The 20813-nt window shown below is 44.1% G+C and overlaps 1 pseudogene across 2 annotated transcripts in view; it reads right to left on the reverse strand.

Moving 5' to 3' along the window:
* The window catches only part of PDE4DIPP2 (PDE4DIP pseudogene 2), a 195809-nt pseudogene that overhangs the window by 15654 nt on the left and 159342 nt on the right, over positions 1 to 20813 (reverse strand). Inside the window, exons 31-41 of one of the 2 annotated variants that reach the window (NR_144517.1) lie at positions 20430 to 20681; positions 19101 to 19232; positions 18319 to 18438; positions 16647 to 16836; positions 15829 to 15953; positions 11901 to 12140; positions 9749 to 9865; positions 8953 to 9179; positions 7877 to 8020; positions 6654 to 6792; positions 4530 to 4635 (exon numbers count right to left, since the gene is read on the reverse strand). The product of NR_144517.1 is annotated as a PDE4DIP pseudogene 2, transcript variant 2 (transcript). Of the gene's footprint in view, positions 1 to 4529; positions 4636 to 6300; positions 6793 to 7876; positions 8021 to 8952; positions 9180 to 9748; positions 9866 to 11900; positions 12141 to 15828; positions 15954 to 16646; positions 16837 to 18318; positions 18439 to 19100; positions 19233 to 20429; positions 20682 to 20813 lie in introns of both variants that reach the window. The other variant, NR_144516.1, reaches the window with a different exon arrangement.

The raw sequence follows: 20813 nt of genomic DNA on the forward strand, positions 1-20813 counted from the left end.
AAGGTAATTTATAGATTCAATGCCATCCCCATCAAGCTACCAATGACTTTCTTCACAGAATTAGAAAAAACTACTTTAAAGTTCATATGTAACCAAAAAAGAGCCCGCATTGCCAAGTCAATCCTAAGCCAAAAGAACAAAGCTGGAGGCATCACACTACCTGACTTTAAACTATACTACAAGGCTACAGTAAACAAAACAGCATGGTACTGGTACCAAAACGGAGATACAGACCAATGGAACAGAACAGAGCCCTTAGAAATAACACCACACATCTACAACTATCTGATCTTTGACAAACCTGACAAAAACAAGAAATGGGGAAAGGATTCCCTATTTAACAAATGGTGCTGGGAAAACTGGCTAGCCATATGCAGAAAGCTGAAACTGGATCCCTTCCTTACATCTTATACAAAAATTAATTCAAGGTGGATTAAAGACTTAAATGTTAGATGTAAAACCATAAAAACCCTAGAAGAAAACCTAGGCAATACCATTCAGGACATAGGCATGGGCAAGGACTTCATGTCTAAAACACCAAAAGCAATGGCAACAAAAGCCAAAATTGACAAATGGGATCTAATTAAACTAAAAAGCTTCTGCACAGCAAAACAAACTACCATCAGAGTGAACAGGCAACCTACAGAATGGGAGAAAATTTTTGCAATCTACTCATCTGACAAAGGGCTAATATCCAGAATCTACAAAGAACTCAAACAAATTTACAGGAAAAAAAAACAACCCCATCAAAAAGAGGGCAAAGGATATGAACAGACACTTCTCAAAAGAAGACATTTATGCAGCCAACAGACATATGAAAAAATGCTCATCATCACTGGTCATCAGAGAAATGCAAATCAAAACCACAATGAGATACCACTCATGCCAGTTAGAATGACGATCATTAAAAAGTCAGGAAACAACAGATGCTGTAGAGGATGTGGAGAAATAGGAACGCTTTTACACTCTTGGTGGGAGTATAAATTAGTTCAACCATTGTGGAAGACAGTGTGGCAATTCCTCAAGGATCTAGAACTAGAAATACCATTTGACCCAGCAATCTCATTACCGGGTGAATACCCAAAGGATTATAAATCATGCTACTATAAAGACATGTGCACACCTATGTTTATTGAGGCACTATTCACAATAGCAAAGACTTGGAACTAACCCAAATGTCCATCAATAATAGACTAGATAAAGAAAATGTGGCACATATACACCAAAGAATACTATGCAGCCATAAAAAAGGATGAGTTCTTGTCTTTTGCAGGGACATGCATGAAGCTAGAAATTGTGATTCTCAGCAAAATATCACAAGGACAGAAAACCAAACTCCGCATGTTCTCACTCTTAAGTGGGAGTTGACCAATGAGAACACATGGACACAGGGAGGGGAACATCACACACCGGGGCCTGTTGTGGGGTAGGAGGCTGGGGGAGGGATAGCGTTAGGAGAAATACCTAATGTAAATGATGAGTTGATGGGTGCAGCAAACCAACATGGCACACGTACACATATATAACAAACCTGCACGTTGTGCACATATACCCTAGAACTTAAAGTATTTTTTTTTAAAAAGATTATTTCTTTGAATAAGTGTTCTACTCTTTGCTCCTTCTCAACTCCCTCTTTAAGGCCAATGAATCTTTGATTTTCTCTTTTCAGGCCCTCTTCTAGATCTCTTAAGCATTCTGTGTTCCTGCTCATTCTTCTTTTCTTTTTTCTCCTCTATTTTCAAATAGCTTGTTTGCATGCTCACTAATTCTTTCTTCTGCTTGATCAATTCTACTGAGACCCACTAATGCATTTTCCAGCTCCAGCATTTGATTTTTTTCTCTTACTTCAGTAATCTTGTTAAATTTCTGATATATTTCTGAATTGTTTCTCTGTGTTTTCTTGAAGTTCATTGAGCTTTCTCAAAATAGCTATTCTGAATTCCCTGAGAGTTACACGTCTCCATCTCTCCAGGGTTGGTCACTGAGTGCCTTACTTGGTCCATTTGTTGAGGTCATATTGGCTTCAATGTTATTGATACTGTTGATGTTTGTCAGTATCTGGGCATTGAAGGATAAGGTATTTATTCCAGCCTTTGCAGTCAGGTCTTGTTTGTACCTGTCCTTCAGAGGACCTTCCAGGAATTCAAAGTGGGCTGACGAGTTCCCTAAGCCAGTGATCACTGCAGCCATTTTTGTACTACAGGGCACCCTAGGCCCAGGTACACTGCAATTCTTACCGATTCCTAGGTCCCCAGCCCTGTGGACTTGGGGGAAGATCAGGGATTGTTCTCCGCATTCCCAGGTAAAGCCCCTAGCTTACTTCCCTTTCTTTCCCCCAAGCAAGAGGAACCTCTCTTCAGGCTGCACTGCCTGGAGTGTGGGGAGGGGTGATACAGGCATTCCCATAGCTGCTGCAGCTGCTGCCATCATACTGGCTCACACCACAAGTCCAGGGTGCTCCAGACCTATGCAGCATCAGGGCTTGCCCAAGGACTGTGGTCACTACAGCCTGCCTGCCACTGAAATTTATTTGAAGCCCAAGAAATTTCCAGTGATAAAGCCGGCCAGAACTTTGCTGGGTTCTTCCTGCTGGGGCAGCTGGTTCCCTTGTGGCCCAGGGTGGGTCTAAATGCTTCTTCTGTGGGCACCAGCCTGGAATCAAGTGCTGTGGGGTTCTGCCCAGTGCCGTGTGTCACTATGGCAAGACTGGTACTAAGTTTCAATATAAAGTCTCACACTTTCCCCCTTGTCCCCAAGCCATTAGATTCTCTCTCAGAGAATTTCCTATGGTTGGGGGAGAGGTGTCATAGGCAATGCAAGACTGTCCTTCCTCCCTTCTTCAATGCATCTTTTCTTGTTAGCATGTTAAAAGCGGGTGCTATGATCTCTCACCTGGCTAGCCCTTGTGAAAGTGTTTTCTTACATAGATAGTTGTTTAATTTGATGTTCCTTCAGAGAGACCATTGCCGGAGAATTCTATTCTACCATCGTACTCCACCTTCTACCTGTTTTTATTTTTTAAATGTTTCTAGTACATAATTGTGAAGTGATAGCTTATTTTAATCTTGGGAATCAAAAGCATGTAGCTAAGAACTTTTCCCAAGGAATATTTCAAAATTTTTATATCAATGTTTATGGAATGACATACTTTTTGATTCAAGGTTCTTAAATGTAGTTTTAGTTTTGATTCAATGTTATAGAACACTGTTTTTTTAAACTGTGATCTGAAGCCCACATGTAATGGAATCACCTGGGGTGCTTATATTAAAAAAATGCAGATTCTAGGGCTCACACCAACTAAATCTCCTGGGATTGGAGACCAGGAGGTAGCTCCTATAATCTCCACAGCTGCTTCTCAGGCACACCAAGTTTAAGAACCATTCTTTCATATTTTCAGACTGGGGATTCTTACAAAATGACAAAGAAGGAAAACCTTAATCTTTTAAAGTTAGAGTTCAAGCATTAGACTATATGCTTCTTAAACACAGTTTGTCTTTCCCATTTTCTCTTTCCAGTTCTTTATACTGTCAAGGGATTGGTGCAGAAATGGGAAACAAAGCAGTGAAAGAAAAACTATTTATTTCTTTATACACATCTTGCTTAAACAATCACCAAAAAGACTTTCATTTTCTGTCACCCACCCTGTCCACCAGTTATGTTGGCCTTCAATATGTGGCGTTAGCAACATATATAAATCTATATCATATATTTATACACACAAACACATTCTACCAGCACTGTGAAGACACAGACTAGGCTTTACTAGGCTTGGGGCCTCTCCCATGCCACTTAAAAATGAGCACAGGTTTGCTCTATGCAAGAATTTCAACAGAGTTGGTCTGGCCATCAGTCTGCAATTTCCCCGAGATAAGATAGGGTGACAAAATGGGACAGCAACTTTGAAGTGAGGTCAGTCCAATTTGGATATCATAGAAGAAAAGAAATAGGATGTGCTAGGTTAAGCCTGAGATGGTATCTGGGAAATCACCACATTCATGATGTGAACTCAAAGAACACAGGTGCTACAGTGCAGACCAAAGCCCAGCCTGACTCGACCCAACAGGGTCAGGTGTGGATCTGTGAGTAGTGCTCACTGAGCCCCCGCCAGCAGTGTCCGGCAGGGCACCGCTGCTCCGTAGTGTGCTTTTAGAACCTGCCAGAGGAGCTCCAGCATTGGGACCACGTGCCCCTTTCATCGGAATCAGGGTCCTATATCCACTGAGTTTTCCATCTCAGGACAGCTGATGAGGCAAGAAATGTGCTCTTGCTAGTTCCCAAGCTGCTGGGGCTGTTGAGAGGCAGTATCACAAAACCTTCTGTGCAAACTACGCATCTTTTGCTTAGTGCTGGGCCAAGTGGACCTTGGCTAACGGTATTCCATAGCTGTCACAAAGGCTTTCTGCCTTTCTCCCAGCTCCACCAGGATACATCTCTGACTCCCTCTTCTGGACCCTCCAGTGGACTTGGAGGAATGAGGCCCAGATGCTCCTCAGCAGATAGGTAGCTGCACAAAATGGGGACAGGCTCACCTTTCCTGCTGTTTTAAGGACTTCTGGTGGCTGCGCTTCTTGCATGGTTCCTGGAAGGCAAGGGTCACAAGGCTGGAGTACACGGCAGAGCCCTTAGGGATTTCACCTGCAGACAAACATAAAACAAACCAAATCAGTGTATATTGCCAGGTCCTACTGATGGCTACCTGAAGCTGGAGTGAGAGCTACGTGGTGACCAAAGCCAGGAGCACGGTGAGAGCCAGTTAAGAGGATGAGCTAAGAGCATGCGCTGCAGTCTGGAGGAGCAACAGGTGCCCGAGGTTAGGGGGAGCCTCCCCACCTCCCTGTGTGCTGAGATCCCTGCTCCAATTCACTGCACACTGGGTGGCTGGATCCTACCACTCCCCCTTCAGGGGCCAGGTGACTCTCCAAATCACTTTGTCTCAGCAGAAAGAGGCCTTTGCCATCTCCACCCAAGAAAGAAGTGCTTAGCATGAAACATGCACATATAGAAACAGCCTGTTTGTAGGAAGAAGAGGACATTTTGCTGGGAAGTCCTCTGTTAAGTTTATGTCCAGTTGCCATAATGAGGGTGTGGAGGGGCCAAGTCCACAGGGACCTCAGAGCTCAACTAAGTTCAGTTCCATCTTTGACAGATGAGGGTGCAGCAGTCTCACAGAGACTAAGGGACAAGCCAAAGCCACACAGCAGTTAGTGATAAGCCAGGGATTAGAACCGAGGCCTCGGGTCCTTTCCAGTGATCTATGGGAGGTGGAGGGGAAAGCTTCCACACTGGAGAAAGCCAGTGGATACTAGAGATTTTTGGGTTACCTTTTAGTGGATACTAGAGACTTTTTGGGTTACCTTTTCTGGGACAGGAATAAGGCTTTACAGAGGCAATCCTGTAAGTGCTGCTCTAAAGAGGCTCAGGAAAGAGAAGAATTATCAGAGAAAAACAAAAGGGAATTAGTGAAAAAATAAAAAAAAGAGCAAGTTAAACTGGCCCAAGTCATTTTCACACTATGGAGATCAACATTCTCTCAGGTTATGGATTAGAAACATTTCTAGGAATATGCTGAATTGCTTATGGCAAAGCTTTGATGTCCATGTTAAAAGGTTTAGTTTCTGATTTTTAACCATTTCATATACCTCAAGTTTTTCTTCAAAGCACTTCCTAGGGAATGATTAACACTTAGTGTTTTAAGTAAATGTAGATAATGTCTGGTACATATATAACATTTTTTCCCTGAAGGTTCAGTTGTTATTTATTAACAAATTTGCTTTTAGACCAATGAGACCCAACAGATCTCTTTTGTCATGTTACTTAAAGATACAGCAAAATCAAATCGCTGTTCTTAACCCGGGAATGTGCAGTGAAATCAGTTTATTAGGTTGCAAATTGCTTTTACTTTTTCATGAAGAGTAGAACACATAACTGGCCTCAAGATCCCTCTACTAGAAGCTCATTCAGAGGCAGACTCCCGAATGTCTAATGACTTCAAGAGTCAGCTGAATTGCATTTCTCCAGTCTCTGAACTTGGCCTCAAAGAAGAAAAATTGGAGTAAAAAGGAGAGATGATGACAATGTGAGAGTGAACCAAGATACAGGGGCAGGAGCTGACGGGGTGGGAGGGTGATAGGGACAGAAACTAGCAGGATGCTCACTGAGGACCTGTGATCTTGCAAGTGGACCCCAAATCTTCTCCTGGAAGGCCAAAGCAGGCCAAGAGTCACCTACAAGATCTGCTAACGGATGGTGATGGGTGGGGGACAGGCTTGGTGCCTCTGACTGGTGCAGTAGTTTCCTTACCTCTAAGTTAGTCCTTGCCTTCTTTAAAACATCATGTGTTCTGGTTACTGAAACAACAAAAGAGCACCACAGAGTAGAAACCACCAGCAGAAATTAACCCTACTTGCTTAGCGTGAGAATTCTAAAGCATTTATTTCTTTCTGGCTATTCAGCTTGGAGTCTCCTTCTATCCACCCCCTGTCCTCCCCTCCCTCTGCAGCCACAATTGCTCCTGGCACAGGAGGTTTGGGGACATCAAATCAGTCTCCACTCCCAACATCCCCAAGCCCCCCTGATCACTTCTCATCTGAAGCACAAGTGGGGCATCGGGAAGACTGCCTGTTTCTGCCCCCGTTCCCTCTCAGGGAACCTACGCTGGCTGACAATGAACTGTTCCATGCTCTCCTTCTGCTGGTTGGCATTCTTCAGATGCTCAGTTGTGCTCTGAAGGAGCTGCTCCTGTTTGGATACTTTGGTTCTCAGTTCCAGAAGTTCCCTTTCTGTTGATTCTCCCTGGATAAGAGGAACAGACTCTTACTGACCAGGCAGAAGGCCTAAAGCACCCTGTGCTTTGTGGCTCTTTCCAATTCAAAGAAGGATTCTACAGTCTTCTCAACTCTCTTGAACTGGATTTCCTCCTTCACAGCCTTGGATATCTCCAGCTGAGGACAGTTCAGGATGAGGCCATTAGGTAGGAATATTGAGACTCTGGAATTCCCCATGCAGACTAGCACAGGCCCACACACCTGTAGCTTAAGAGAAACTTGCTTCAGGCTGGTTTAAAACTCCCAACTCTGAAGAGGACCTTGCTTTAGTCCTGATATCAGTTCTGTCACTCTCCCTTCACAGGTAAGATTGAGAGTTCAGAAGTGTTATGCTGGGGAGAGAGATCTGGACTCAGGGAAGTCTGCAAGTTTGTAAATATTTGTGCCAACATGAAGATGGCACAACACCCTCTCCCTGGAATTAGCATAGTTGGATCCAAAAGGTATTGGTGCCATTGACCTGGAAGTAGAATCCCTGGGGAGGGGATCCTGAAACCTGCCTACACGAGGGTCTGCCAATCAGAGTTAGCCTGAGCTCTGAGCAGATCCTGAGGGGAGGCTGACTTTCCCCAGGCCTGGTCCAGCGATGCCAGCTTAAGTGATATGCTGGGATTCCAGGCAGTCGCTAAAAAGGCTCAGTCTCATGGGGGCATTCTGTGATCATTTAACCATGGGACCTGAGGGGTAGGAGATGGGTGCTGAAGCTTTAACTGAATTTCAGCTCAGTCAAACTTCAGAGAGGTAAATAAACTGAACATTTATGGATGGCCAGGGTTATGATGTCTCCGCCTTCTTCACACCCCTTCATCTTCTTTGATTTCTTAACCAGGGGACAGGGGGCTGGCGGGGAATGGGATATATTCAGAGCTGCAATGAAAGCAGCCACCATGGGTCAGAGATGTCCCTCCAGGGACACTCCTCTAAGTTCCTGTCTATCCCAACTCACTATGTGGCTCCTGATTTTCTGGAAAAGCTGTGACATTGAGGAGACAGAACAGTATTGGAGGGCAGGAGAACTGGGTTTGAACCAAGAAAGGGCACTGGCATCTTACCACTTTGCCAGGCAGCACAGGGATGTGGGTGCTTGGCAGGGCCGCTCTCCAGAACATGGTGAGGAGGGAAGCCGACTCCTCTAGGGCATGGTGCAGGGCACTGGTGCTGCTCCGAAGCTCATGAATGCCTTTGCTGCCTAGCACCTGGGGAAAGGTAACACCACAGGAGCGGAGAGATTACTTTCTTCCCCCTGCGTGGGCTCAAGCTTCCTTTGTGAGTGAGGCATAGAACATGGGCCTGCTTGAACCTGTGAAGCCCTCACACAACCATTTGCAGCTCTCAGAACTAAGGTGCTGCTCCCTTTACCAGGAATGCCTTCCTCCACCTGCAGAACCCACAAGGCTTTCAAAACTCACCCCCCTTGCTATGTCCTCTATGAGCCTGTTACCTTCCTTGCCTGAGATAAATGACCACATTTGCATTGGCGCTCTCACAGCACAGAGGATGACTTCTCATACTGTGCCTGTAGCCCCTTACTGTGCTTATCTACTTGGGTGTGTGTCTTGCCCTCTAGTGTGGGGGCTCCGTGGAGGCAGGGCTGTCCCTACACATCCATGGGTCTCCAGCAGCTCAGACAGCACAGCCACAGGTTCCTGGTCTCTCTCACTGGCAAGGTGCTCTCAGAAGCTTTGCTGACTGCCTTCCCTCCCTCTATGCAGTCTGCACAAGGAAATGACATGGCTGCCAGGCTTCTCACCCCTTCCACATGTGGGGGCCATACACCTGCAAATCCTTCAGTTTCTATCCATCCCATTGAGTTGACTCTGCCCACAGATGGTCATGTGCCTGCATGACTATGGTAGATAATAAGCTACCAAAGGCTGCTAGGCAATGCCACATGTTTCTGTGGGGCTGAGGGGAAATATCCAGTCAGCTACATCTGGAACAGAGCAGAACTCACAGTGAAAATAGGAGATAGAGAAGAAAGGGCCTGGCTGCTATACATGGAAGAGGAAGTCTCAGCTGTTGAGAGATGCAAAGCATGAAAAAAACAAAAATGGTGGGAGAAGGAGTTAACATCAAAGGAAGAAAGGGCACAGGGAAAGAGTGCACCTAAAGCTTCAGGTGTGATTACCTCTGTGCCTTGGGCTTCAAGGCCAGGGAAGCTGCACGCTGATCTCACAAGAGACACTATCTTTTTGACCAGCAGCTTGCCCTCCGCAATCTGCTGTCTTAGGGCACTGTAGTCATCAATGTGGCCAATGACATGGCGGCCATGCTTATTGGCAAAGGAGCCATCAGTAGCATCACCCTCTAGCTTGGGAGGGGTCTTCATTACTGGAGAAGTATCCAAACCCAAGCCTGAAAAAGAAAATGACAACACAACTGAATCTTCTGTTATTCATAATGATATCCTCAGTTTGCTCCAACTAAAAAAGAGGTAGGGAACAAGAAAAGGACGAGGCCGGGAACAAGAAAGGAAGCCTGGGAATGTACAAGGGTGGGGCAAAGTCCATAGAGATCTTCTGGCTTCTATATTTTTATAATCTTTCTTACATTATCTCTTAATGATAAATTTGCCAGGAGACAATTTTTTCCTTATTGGCAAATGAAATAGGATGAATCATAATAAATAATAAGTTTCTGAGTAGAGAAGACACAGACAAGGAAGTCAAGCTGGATACAGACAGCATTTTCAAGAATAGAGAGATTATGGTGCAATGAAGCAAAAACAGCAGTAGGAAAACTACAGGAAGATGAACAATGGCAAGAAAGGCAGCCACAGAAGGTGCAGGGAGTAGGGCTAAAGGCCTTGGGGCATGCAGAGAAAACTCTCTAAATACAGATAATATGTTTAGAGACAACAAAAGGTTGTTTGCATTAATCACTTTCCATCATCAGTCCCTGGGCCCTTTAGTTGCCATATTTACCATTTGCTCTGTTGATTATGGGCGTTTCTGAGCCAGGAGTAGAGGAAGCAGAGCTGGGGAAGACCAGAGCTGGGGAATTCATACCAACATCCCGGACTGGAGGGGACACAGCTGAATCTAGGGGGTAAAGGCAACCACAGTTTTCAGGAGCCCTGGAACACACTGCACATGAAGCACATGCACACCTAGCTGTCCCCACTGAGACCTAAGGTGGCAGGACTCTCCTCTTACAGAATTATCCATACCCCACAAGCCAAAGCAAAAGCAAAAGCCTATGAGTCACTGAGTTCAGAATGTTTCCATTCTTCAGAACAAAAAGATATTCCTGTAATTGAGGGGTGTTCCATGAGAACGTAACTTCTAGTTTGAAAAATTATTAGGTGTATTTTTATAAACCGAGTCTTAAGTATAATTTGTGTGTGGTATCTAATATGATGCCCTGTAACTAAATGTAATATGTATAAATATACATAGTACAGATTAAAATCTAGAATCAAAGAATCAAGGAATGAATGGATTCATGGGGGACTCAACATTCTAGTCATCATTCTGATGAGGTAATACTGAAAAAAATTGACTTGTATGAGAAGAACGGAGACAGAAGGCTTGGTGGGTTAACATTGTCTTGCTGGAGACTAAAAAGCAACCCTATGGTGGAGGAATTGGAAAATATCACAAAGAAGGTAGAAAAGGTCCTGCTCAGGCAAGTGTGGCCCAGTGCCTGCTTTCCAGCTCAGGCCTCCGGGGTGCTAGAGAAAGAGGGGCAGGGACTGCATCAGTGGGGCTGAGTCTTGGCTGCTGTATGGGAAGCCAGTGAGAGAAGAAGGCCTGGTTAGAAGGAAGAGTTGGAGACATAACTGAACACCACAACCATCAGGGCAGCCCAGAGGAGGGCAAGATGTCCAACTAATGTAAGCTGAGCAGTTCCTGGTGGTCAGGCGGTTTGCTTGGTGGACCACATGTGTTTTTTTATTGAATTGCCAAAACAGCATAATCATGTTATTGTCACCTTCATTTGACAAATAAGGTTACTGTCAGATAAATGAGAATCTACAAGAACCACAGAAAAACAAAGATTAACATGACCCAGAAATAGCTGGCAGGAGAGTTTGAAAGCTCAGCTTTAGAGAAACTGAACAGAAGTGGTTCCTGATTTGAATAAAATTGAAGGTATGGCCATGGAGGTGAGTGGAGATGGTGTACTAAACGGTGTATCAAAAGGAGAAAAGGACAGAGGAAGTAGAAATTGAATGATTTAAGAGACTAGGGGGACACCATTGACATTTCAATGAAAACTGGGAGAAGTGAGATTGATAGAGGATATTGAGAAGAGAAGGGGGACCTGGTCAAACACGCCTATCTGAAAAGGCAGGCAAGGGGTGGGGTAGAGAAAGCGAATGATGGCCACCCGAAATAAATCACCCACCATCCAGGACTTCCCCAGAGCCCTGTTTCCTTAGGGGCAGGAACATTTTACCACACACTGAGTTCCCCACCTGTGAGGGAAAGGGGGACTAGAGAATCTGGGAAGGTCGGCAATACTGAGACAGGGCACAATGAACTGGAAGGAACACAGACTGAAAATCACAACATCTGGTTCTGATTCTGGCTTTGTCTATAACTTCTCTAAACCCCTGCTTGTCTGTTAATATCTCAGGACCTAAGTTTTCTTATGTGAAATACAGAGATAGCAAAACCTGCTTTACTTCAGATGAAATTATATATGTGAAAACACTTGGCTAAAACTAAAGCACCAAGCAAATCCAAGAAAAAGATATGAACATATACAGCTGCTAATTATTGAGTAATTCTTAGTGTGCCAAGCACTTGTAAATGATTTCATTTAATGCTCAAAATCATATAAGGTACATATGATCATTATCCTCATCTTAAATATAAGGAAACTAAAGCTTAAACCTCTGAGACTTTAGACACCTTGCCCAAATCAAACGACCTCTAAGTGGTAAACTCAGAATCTGGAGCCCAGTCTGACCTAAATCCCACGCTTTCACTCAGGCTGCTAGACTAGAGCATCTCTGATTTCAACCTGACCCTAAGGAGCATGGACCAGGCAGATTACACCTTCTGCCGCAGAACTTCCTGGTGATCTCCCCACTGGCCAAGGGCTTTCTAAGTCCCTTTTCCTTCCTACCTTGGAGGAGCAGCTGCTTGTTTCCAGGGTCAGTGCTGGCTGGGAAGTTCTGGTTAATGGAGGAGGGGCTGAGGCTGGCTTTGCCAGCACCGCTCTCCAGCTGCTGTTGCAGCTGCAGTCGCAGACAATTGTTCCCCTGAATGCTCTGCTCCAGCTGCCCTCTCAGAGCTCGTACCTCTGCCACCAGGTGGCTCAGGTCACTGCTCAAAGGGATTTGGTGACAGGCATCCAGGCTGTAAGCTGAGAGAGAAGGAGTCTGGTAACATTCACCCAAGTATTTCCAAGCACTTGTCAGAACCCTCCTCTGTGACATTCTTTTCTGCCAAGGACCCCACTATCATCTGAGTCTCATGCAACCCATCTGTGATGGAGGTGTCACCATTTCTGTGTGTGGCCTGGGGATGGCACTGAGCTGGCACACATCCAGTCTGAAACTTCCCTGCGGCTTAAGTTACACACATGCACCTATAGAGCATTTGATTGGCAGATGAAGATAAGTCCATATTTCATCTCCATAGTAACCTTAGTCCTGTAGGCTAAAGTATAGGATACTCCAAGGTAGAAGGTCAGCACTGAGCTAGAGAAGGGTAGGGGATGAGGAAGAAAGAGATTTCATAGTCCTCACTCTCAAAAATGAAAGAGAAGGAGGAGGTCTTTTGGTAGCATGTGAGAATGTGAGTTGGGCACCTTAGACGAGGGATTATAACTGAGTTTTTCAATTTCTCTCTCTCTCTTTCTCTCTCTCTCTATATATGTGTGTGTGTGTGTACATATATATACACCTACATATAGTGTGTTTATATATGTGTGTTTATATACATACTATATATAGGTGTATATATGTACACATATACATGTACACATATACATGTACATATATATGTACACACATATACATGTACATATATATGTACACACATATACATGTACATATATATGTACACACATATACATGTACATATATATGTACACACATATACATGTACATATATATGTACACACATATACATGTACATATATATGTACACACATATACATGTACATATATATGTACACACATATACATGTACATATATATGTACACACATATACATGTACATATGTATGTACACACATATACATGTACATATGTATGTACACACATATACATGTACATATGTATGTACACACATATACATGTACATATGTATGTACACACATATACATGTACATATGTATGTACACACATATACATGTACATATGTATGTACACACATATACATGTACATATGTATGTACACACATATACATGTACATATGTATGTACACACATATACATGTACATATGTATGTACACACATATACATGTACATATGTATGTACACACATATACATGTACATATGTATGTACACACATATACATGTACATATGTATGTACACACATATACATGTACATATGTATGTACACACATATACATGTACATATATATGTACACACATATACATGTACATATATATGACATGTACACACATATATATACATACACATATATATAAATATATATATGTATGTATATTTACCTCCATTCACCACATGGCTATTTCTTTGTACTGGGGATGAAGAGATCTAAGAAATATTCTACGAGGCTACAATCCCTTATCTGAAAACCTTAAGGCCAAATGTATTTCGAAAGGTAAAATTTGTTTTAGTTTTTAGCAAGGCAACAGGGTGCATATATCATATATAACATGTACCCAGTTGCATGTGAGCCACAATCCTTTATCAAACATATAACTATTTCCGCAATGAGCTATGTGAATATTCTAAATAGATAAATAAAGACTTATGAATATCCTCATGTCAGATCATCTAGATTTTGTCACTAAATGAGTATTTGAAAAATTTAATTTGGAAATCTTACTGGATTTTGAAATTACAGATAAGAGATTATGGAGCTTTAGTGGTTGTAGCTTTGAAATGAGTCCTAAAAGGCAGGGAGAAAAGCATGAAAGGAAAGGGAGCTCAGGATGAACCAATTTTAGGGACTTTGGTAAATAATCTACTCTTGAATTTTGCCCAAAGTTTTATGATGTTCCTCTCTCTCTCAACCCAACTTCTCACTAAATTTTGCTTATTTTTTAAGAGATGTTTTAAAATCTATCTATACCCTTTCATCTTCCCAATAGCACCTTATATTAGACTGTCATCTCTTAATGTGCCAGAATATCACTAGACCCATCCAATACGTTTCCCAGATTCTAATGTCTCCCAATTCCAGGACATCCCCTAAGACTTAGCATCCTAAAGTTCTGTTTTCATCATATGCTTATCTTCTTTGAAAAAGAACAGACTTAGTTTCATTATCTACTATACAGAATGTCAACTTTTACCCTGACCTGTGAGCTTTCAAGATTTGGTGACTCTGCTCCACCATCCTGACTTCTCACTCCAACCTCAAGCTTCTCCTGTGGTCAGGCTGGTCCCACTGACCCAACACTCACCATGACTGTGTACTTAAATTATTCTCCCAGCCTGGTGAGCCCCTTCTATTTCTTCAGGTTCCAGTTCACCTTCTCTTTAGAAAATCAGGAAACTAAATCAGGATTTATGATAATTCGAATCTAACTTCCACTGCCCTTCACTCTTTGTTTAGCCTTCTGGAGGGACATAAAATACATGAGTTCTTTTTCACCTGACACTTCTTCAAATATCCGAAGCCAGTTCTCATGTCCTCAAGATCTTTTGAAAGCCTACATTTCTTTAGTTTCTTTGACTAGTTGGAGATTTCTGGTCCACACCATTGTGCGCCCTGTCTTCATTATGTTCCCTAGTGTGTCAACGCCCTTTTCAAAGATGGTGCCCCTTAATCTAACAATATTTTAGACATGGTCTCCACAGGCGAACATCACACTTACACTACTGTAGTTCCAGTTTGAGCTGGCATTTCTAGCAACCTTTGTCCTACACCTTACTTGTGTGAACATGTTTCTACCAAACCCCAAACCCTCATGTCCATGAATGGCTGCCTGTCCTATATTTCTACCCTCAACCTATATTTCTACCACTGATATTTTTAATCGAGCTCAGGATTTTGCTTTTTATCTTTGCTAAATTTCACGACATTGATGTCGTCCTCTGTTCCAGCCTGCTGTGACTTATTCACATTATGTTTTGAATACCCTTCTCCATTTAAAGAATGAAGAAATATATCAAAATTCTCAAATATTAGATTATTATTTCAGCAGGCAGCAAAGTCTTCAATAAATGTCCTTAATATTTAAATCCAGGATTGAAATTTAGGTCCTATTAGTGGTATTTCTATAAGGTTTTTTTGTTTTTGTTTTTGTGTCTTTTAATTTTCTCCTGTGGGCAGGCTGGTCCCCACTGACTCAACACTCACCATGACTTTGTACTTAAGCTATTCGCCCAGCCTGGTAAGCCCCTGTATTTCTTCAAATTCCAGTTCACCTTCTCTTTAGAAAATCAGGAAACTAAATCAGGATTTATGAAAATTACATGAAAGGGCAATAAGCTGAGAGCCAGATGTCACTACGGAAAGGGTCAGGGTGGGAGCAGACTGCCTGCTACATTGGGCTGAATGGGTTGTCAGTATGTATTACCAACAATATTAAAGGCCTTTTCAAATGATGATATCATTAGGACAGTTCTTTTGCTTTCAAAAATGTTACAATCTAGACATTGATAGGAATGTCTAGATTTTCTTAAAGTAATTAGGAATGATCAGGCCGGATCTTGCTCATGCCACCAACCTGTCCCGTTGGGCTTTGTGTTTGAGAGCTCCTACTGGGAGCCCCAGGCTCGGGTGGGGGTTTCTGCGACAGAACTCTGTAGCTTCCCATGATCTCCACAACTCCCAAAGGAAAGACCTCACTAGCATCCTATGCAAGGGCAAAAAGCTCATGGGGTGAGGGGAGAAGAACACATACCTTTCAGCCCCTTCTTGGAATTGCCATAAAGTGCCTCGTAGATTTGTAGCTCTGACTGGAGGGACTCAAAGAGCTGCTGTTTCTCTTCACACTGTTGCTGCAGGAGAACCAGCTTGTGCTGCAGTCTGACCAGGGAGAGGCAAGGCCCACTGAGATGGCAGAGCTACTCAGCCACACCAGAGCAACAAGCTGAGAGCCAGATGTCAACTCAGAGGGTCATAAAGGGTTACAGTTAGGGTTACATCTGAGCCCCAGATGTCAACTCAGGGGGTCATGAAGACTATCACTTTTATTTTGCAGATATGGAAATGGAGGCTGAGGGAGGTCAAGTAACTTTGCTTGAAAACACACCATTACCTACATTAGTTCAGAGCAGAACAGACACACCAGCACAGTCTCCTTACTGTTCCTACAGTGCTGTTTGCATTCTGACAAGCAGTTACAGGGCTTATGCTGGGACCAAGCATCACAGCCAGTATAGAAGCTTCCTAGGTGATGGTGAGACTAATGTCCTATATCTAATTGGAAGCATGGGAACCCTTCTTTTTTCATGTCTCTGATATACTGAAGACTTCTATAACAGAGTTTTACTCTCTCAACTTGGGAGTGACAAGGCATTCCCAGAGAAGTCCTTTCTTCTGCTCAAAGCGCCCCTCCCCCCACCCCACTGACACACAAAAATCAGGAATAGCAGAGGGAACATTTAGGTTTCCAAAAGAGGACATCAATTGTCTTGCCAATATCCCTTCCTCTTGTAATGTAAGAATGAATGTAAGAATGAAGAATGCTACCTTCTCTGTCAATGGGTCCCCTCTTACCTGGAGTCGTTTTCCTGGAGGGAAAGACGTTCCTCCCTGAAATGCAAGACCTCTTGCTGCTTCTCCCTCAAGTCTTCCAAAAGCTGCTGCCTTTCCACCTTCTGGTGCTCCAGCTCCTTTTCCAGCTCTTGAAGGTGGGATCGAGAGGACAGCAGAGCCTCCCTCAGGCTTTCTGTTTCCTGGGAGTGCTCTGGTGAGAGGAACACAGGATTGATTTATTATCATGGGGCCAGAGCTCAGCTGGAAGATGACCCCAAGCACATCCACCCTGACAGACAGAGCTAAGGAGCAGGGAAGGAAGGCCCTATGTTGGTGGGAAAAGCATGCTGGCTCAACATCCCCCAGAGCCTGGAGCACGGTGCCTCTCTCTCTTTGCAAAACCCTTCATGCCACTTATTTAATCTGTCCTACCTTGCTCTTAGAGAAATTCTGCTTTCTAATGATCACCACTTTCCAAGTGCTCACATATCGTCTGTTCAATAATCCATTCTTGAATTTTGACAAAGATCAACGTCAAGATTTCTTTTTGGATCTCATTTTCATTATTTTGAAAACTGGGATTTTTTGTTTTTGAACTTGCAGCACTTCTCTGATCTTCACAAGTTGTCAAAGATTATTGAAGGGACTCTAAAAATACAGCTGCAGGCTCAGTAAGTCCTCTGGGGAAAGAGTCACCTGAGCCTGGCAAATTGTATTCGTTTAAATCTCTTACTGTCTTCTCACCTGTGAGGTGTTCTATTCTCTCCAAGCATGCAATGGTAGCTCAGTAGTTCTGCCCTCTTTCTTATCTGTTAACTTTTGTTATCGTCCCCCAGCAGTGACCTTTCCTCTCAAATCTTCTTGCTAATACAGAAATCAATTAATTAAATTAATTAATTTGGGTGGCTAATTTAGAAATATCTCTTGGTGGCTTTTTCCTTTTCCACAAGCATTCCTTCATTCTGGGCTTAATCCTTTTGGATACTACCCTCAGTCTTTTCATGGCTGTTCATAAATATTTGTGAATAAAAATACTTTGTTATCGATAATACATTGATCTGATCAAGTAGACTAACACCAAGGTCAGCTGCCTCCCAGCCACACGAGAAATGATGCCCACCTGTGAGCGCCCCCTGGCTAGGGCTGGGAAAGTGCTGGGGGGCATTTGCTAGTGCCACTCGGCATGGAGTCATGGGAGTACTGACCAGAGGGAAGCCCTGAGTCTATGAGTGAGAGATGTGGTGAGGAGGCAGAGGGATGGCACAGCAGGGCCAGGAGCGACACATGCTGCTGCAGTAAAGTCTGGAGAAACTTGAGAGGGAAGATAGGCATTCGCACTCCCTCCTTTATTGGTTCCAAGTCAGTTGTGAGTGAAGGGAGGTAGAGCAGATACCAGACTGGTATCCAAATTGATAGCTTGTGACTCTGGATATATGCAGGTGGGCTTGTACAGAAATGATGGATTTCCTAGAGCTCTTCGCTTCTGGGGACTAGGAGTCTGAGGGGCCCATAGTTGGAACATCTTAGAAAGCAGCCTTCTCTAGACTGAGAATAGCTGTGAGTTTGGGTTGGTGGATCTGAGTAGCTCTGTTACCTCTACCTTCTTCTGTTTGCTTCTCCAGTTGGTGATTAGTGTGGCCAGGGAAGAAAGAAACTTAAGAGTGACCACAGTTTGTGGGTTTTGACCACGTACCTCTGGAAACATGACTCAGTTGAGCCTGAAGTCTTCGATTTTCTTCCCTGAGGACTCTGTTCTCATTGCAGAGCTGAGGTATGGACTCCAGGCCCTGACTGTAGAAGTTAGAAGTGGATCCTGTCCCAGAAAGTAGACATTTGGGTAACAGAAACTTTCAAAAGTTTCCCATTCGTTATCTCTCAAAGATACTGCCCCAACCCAGCAGAAAACCCCAAGGACTGAAGGCCTGGCCCTGAATGAAGCGTGGGGGGCTGGGTACATGTTTTCTGTGTGCCTCTTCTCAGTGGATTCTTTGCGTGCATCATCACATGCCGTAACTGCAATGGTGCAGGAGGCTCGATCTCCCTAAACAGCTGCTGCTGTGGTATAGGCAGGACAACAACATATGGAAAGACTGGCCTCCACGTGACAGCAGCTTGGAAGGAGAGTGTAAGGAGAAAGGCCACCTTGGTAAAGAGGCGAGGGTAGAGGTGGGAGGACCCTTACAGACCTGGTTCCACCACTTATCAATCACACAACAAAGGCACAGACATCAGCAGTATATAAGCAGATTAAGTATGGGGTGAGAAGTCAGGTGACTCTGGGCACCAGACGTAGTTCTGCCTTAAAGAGAGTTACTCTCTAAACTCAGATATATTCAGAAAGTAGGGATGACAGTACTTGCCCACCTCCCTTGCTGGACTGTTCATAAGGAGCAAGTGAAGTAAAGAATATCTGTGAAGCTCTGCCTAAAAGTCCCTAAATAGAGCCAGAAACAGGAAGGTCTGGGCCTCTCCTACCCCTTCCACGAGCAGTAGAGGTCAGCCGGTGTTCCAGTTGCTCCCGTAGGCAGTCATTGATGCAGATGGACTCCTCCAGGCGCTGGCGCAGGTTCCGGATTTCACCAAGATGCTCTTCCAGCAGGTCAGCCCCTGCGGCCAAACCACCAGGACATGAAGAGAGGTGGGAGATGGAGAATCCTGGTTACTGATGGGGGTGGGGCTCGGCTAGGGGACCTGCAGCAAGACCTGTAAATATCACTAGCCTTCTGCCAACTGTGTCCTCTCACACGGACACCCAAAAGAATGGTAGTTTTGTTTAAACAGTCAATGTGCTTTCAAACACATGACAGTCACTTGCTAAAAAATCTCCATGGGCCTCCTCCCACACAGGGGTCTTGTGAGAGTTCCACGTTTTAGAAAAATAACTGAGGGCTCTGGACAAGGCCTGCCTAGCATCTGGAAAGGTGTGGCCACCTCCTGGGTGTGACTAAGAGGATGATAGGTGAGACCTCACTCTACCTTTCTTCTTACTGACACGTGAGTGAGCATTCTTTAGCAAGGGACAAAGCCCTTCCTCCCACCCTTAGAAAGAAGGCCTAAAGTAAAAGTACGTGATCTTACACTCACCCTATGCGGTTAATGACTGACACTGAATGCTTCCCTGAAATCACTTTTAATATGGAAGATGAAAGAATAGCCTGGAAGGATCTAGAGATCTGAAGGCAAATTAGAGAGGGGATGACACCCCCCTTCCCCCTGCCAAACAAAGCAAAAATATCCAGAAAAGTCAGACGGATGCTTACACCGGACATTAACTGCACCATTTTGCTTTGGGCTCAGTCTTTTCCTGAAAATTACGATTGTCTTACTGTTGGAACTGCGCGGCATCTCAGCATTTATGAGCTTAGCTATACCTCTCCACTTGCTGTGACTGAATTTTGTACACAGGATATATGTGCAGGGTCAGGGAGCTGCACCCTTACACCCTTTCCTGTGACAAGTCCTGACTGATGGAAGAAAGTCCCATCTATGCCTGGCATTCTGGAAGGGTCTAAGAGAGTGGGCTACAAAGAGGCCAGGCTGCAGAGGGATGGAAGGACATGAGTGTGACAGCACAAGAGGTGGGTCCCTGACTTTCCCATATCCCTACAGAGCACTGAGGCCCTGGGCAGGAGAATGAAGAAATGTACTTGGAAAGGATTGAGCCCTGATACAGCTCTTGCATTTTATATCCACTCTGTGAGCCAGGGATGGAGGAGGAATGAAATAGTCCTGCCTGGGTAGGAAAAGAGTAGACTCCAAATGAGACTTCTTTTCAAAGGCTGCCATCTCTGCTTTGTGCTTTACCTGTGGGTTTGGAGTTAAGCTGGTACACAGAGGAGCCTGAGGATAGGTCCCCAGATACACTCCCTTTCTGAGGCCTCATCACATCCCACTTGCCACTGCTGCCCAGGTACCCAGGCTCTAGGATTCTTCCCAGTTCTATGGTGCCCCTTGGAGGAGAGTGAGGCTGGGCAGAGTTGAGGTAGTAGGAAGAGTCGGCTTCCAAGTCGTTGCTCAGCAATGTAGCTGTGGAAGCAGGAGGAACAGTGCTGGTACCTGGGCAGAAAGAAACATTAGTAAGAAGCAACTGGGGTGTCAGAAGGGAAGAATTTGCAAGGAAGTGTGTGATTGCTAAGAATAGAGACTAAAAGGAGACATGTGGAATGTCAGAGATCCCAGTTCACTTTG

This window comes from Homo sapiens, chromosome 1, assembly GCF_000001405.40.
Source record: "Homo sapiens chromosome 1, GRCh38.p14 Primary Assembly".
NCBI classification, from domain to species: domain Eukaryota; kingdom Metazoa; phylum Chordata; class Mammalia; order Primates; family Hominidae; genus Homo; species Homo sapiens.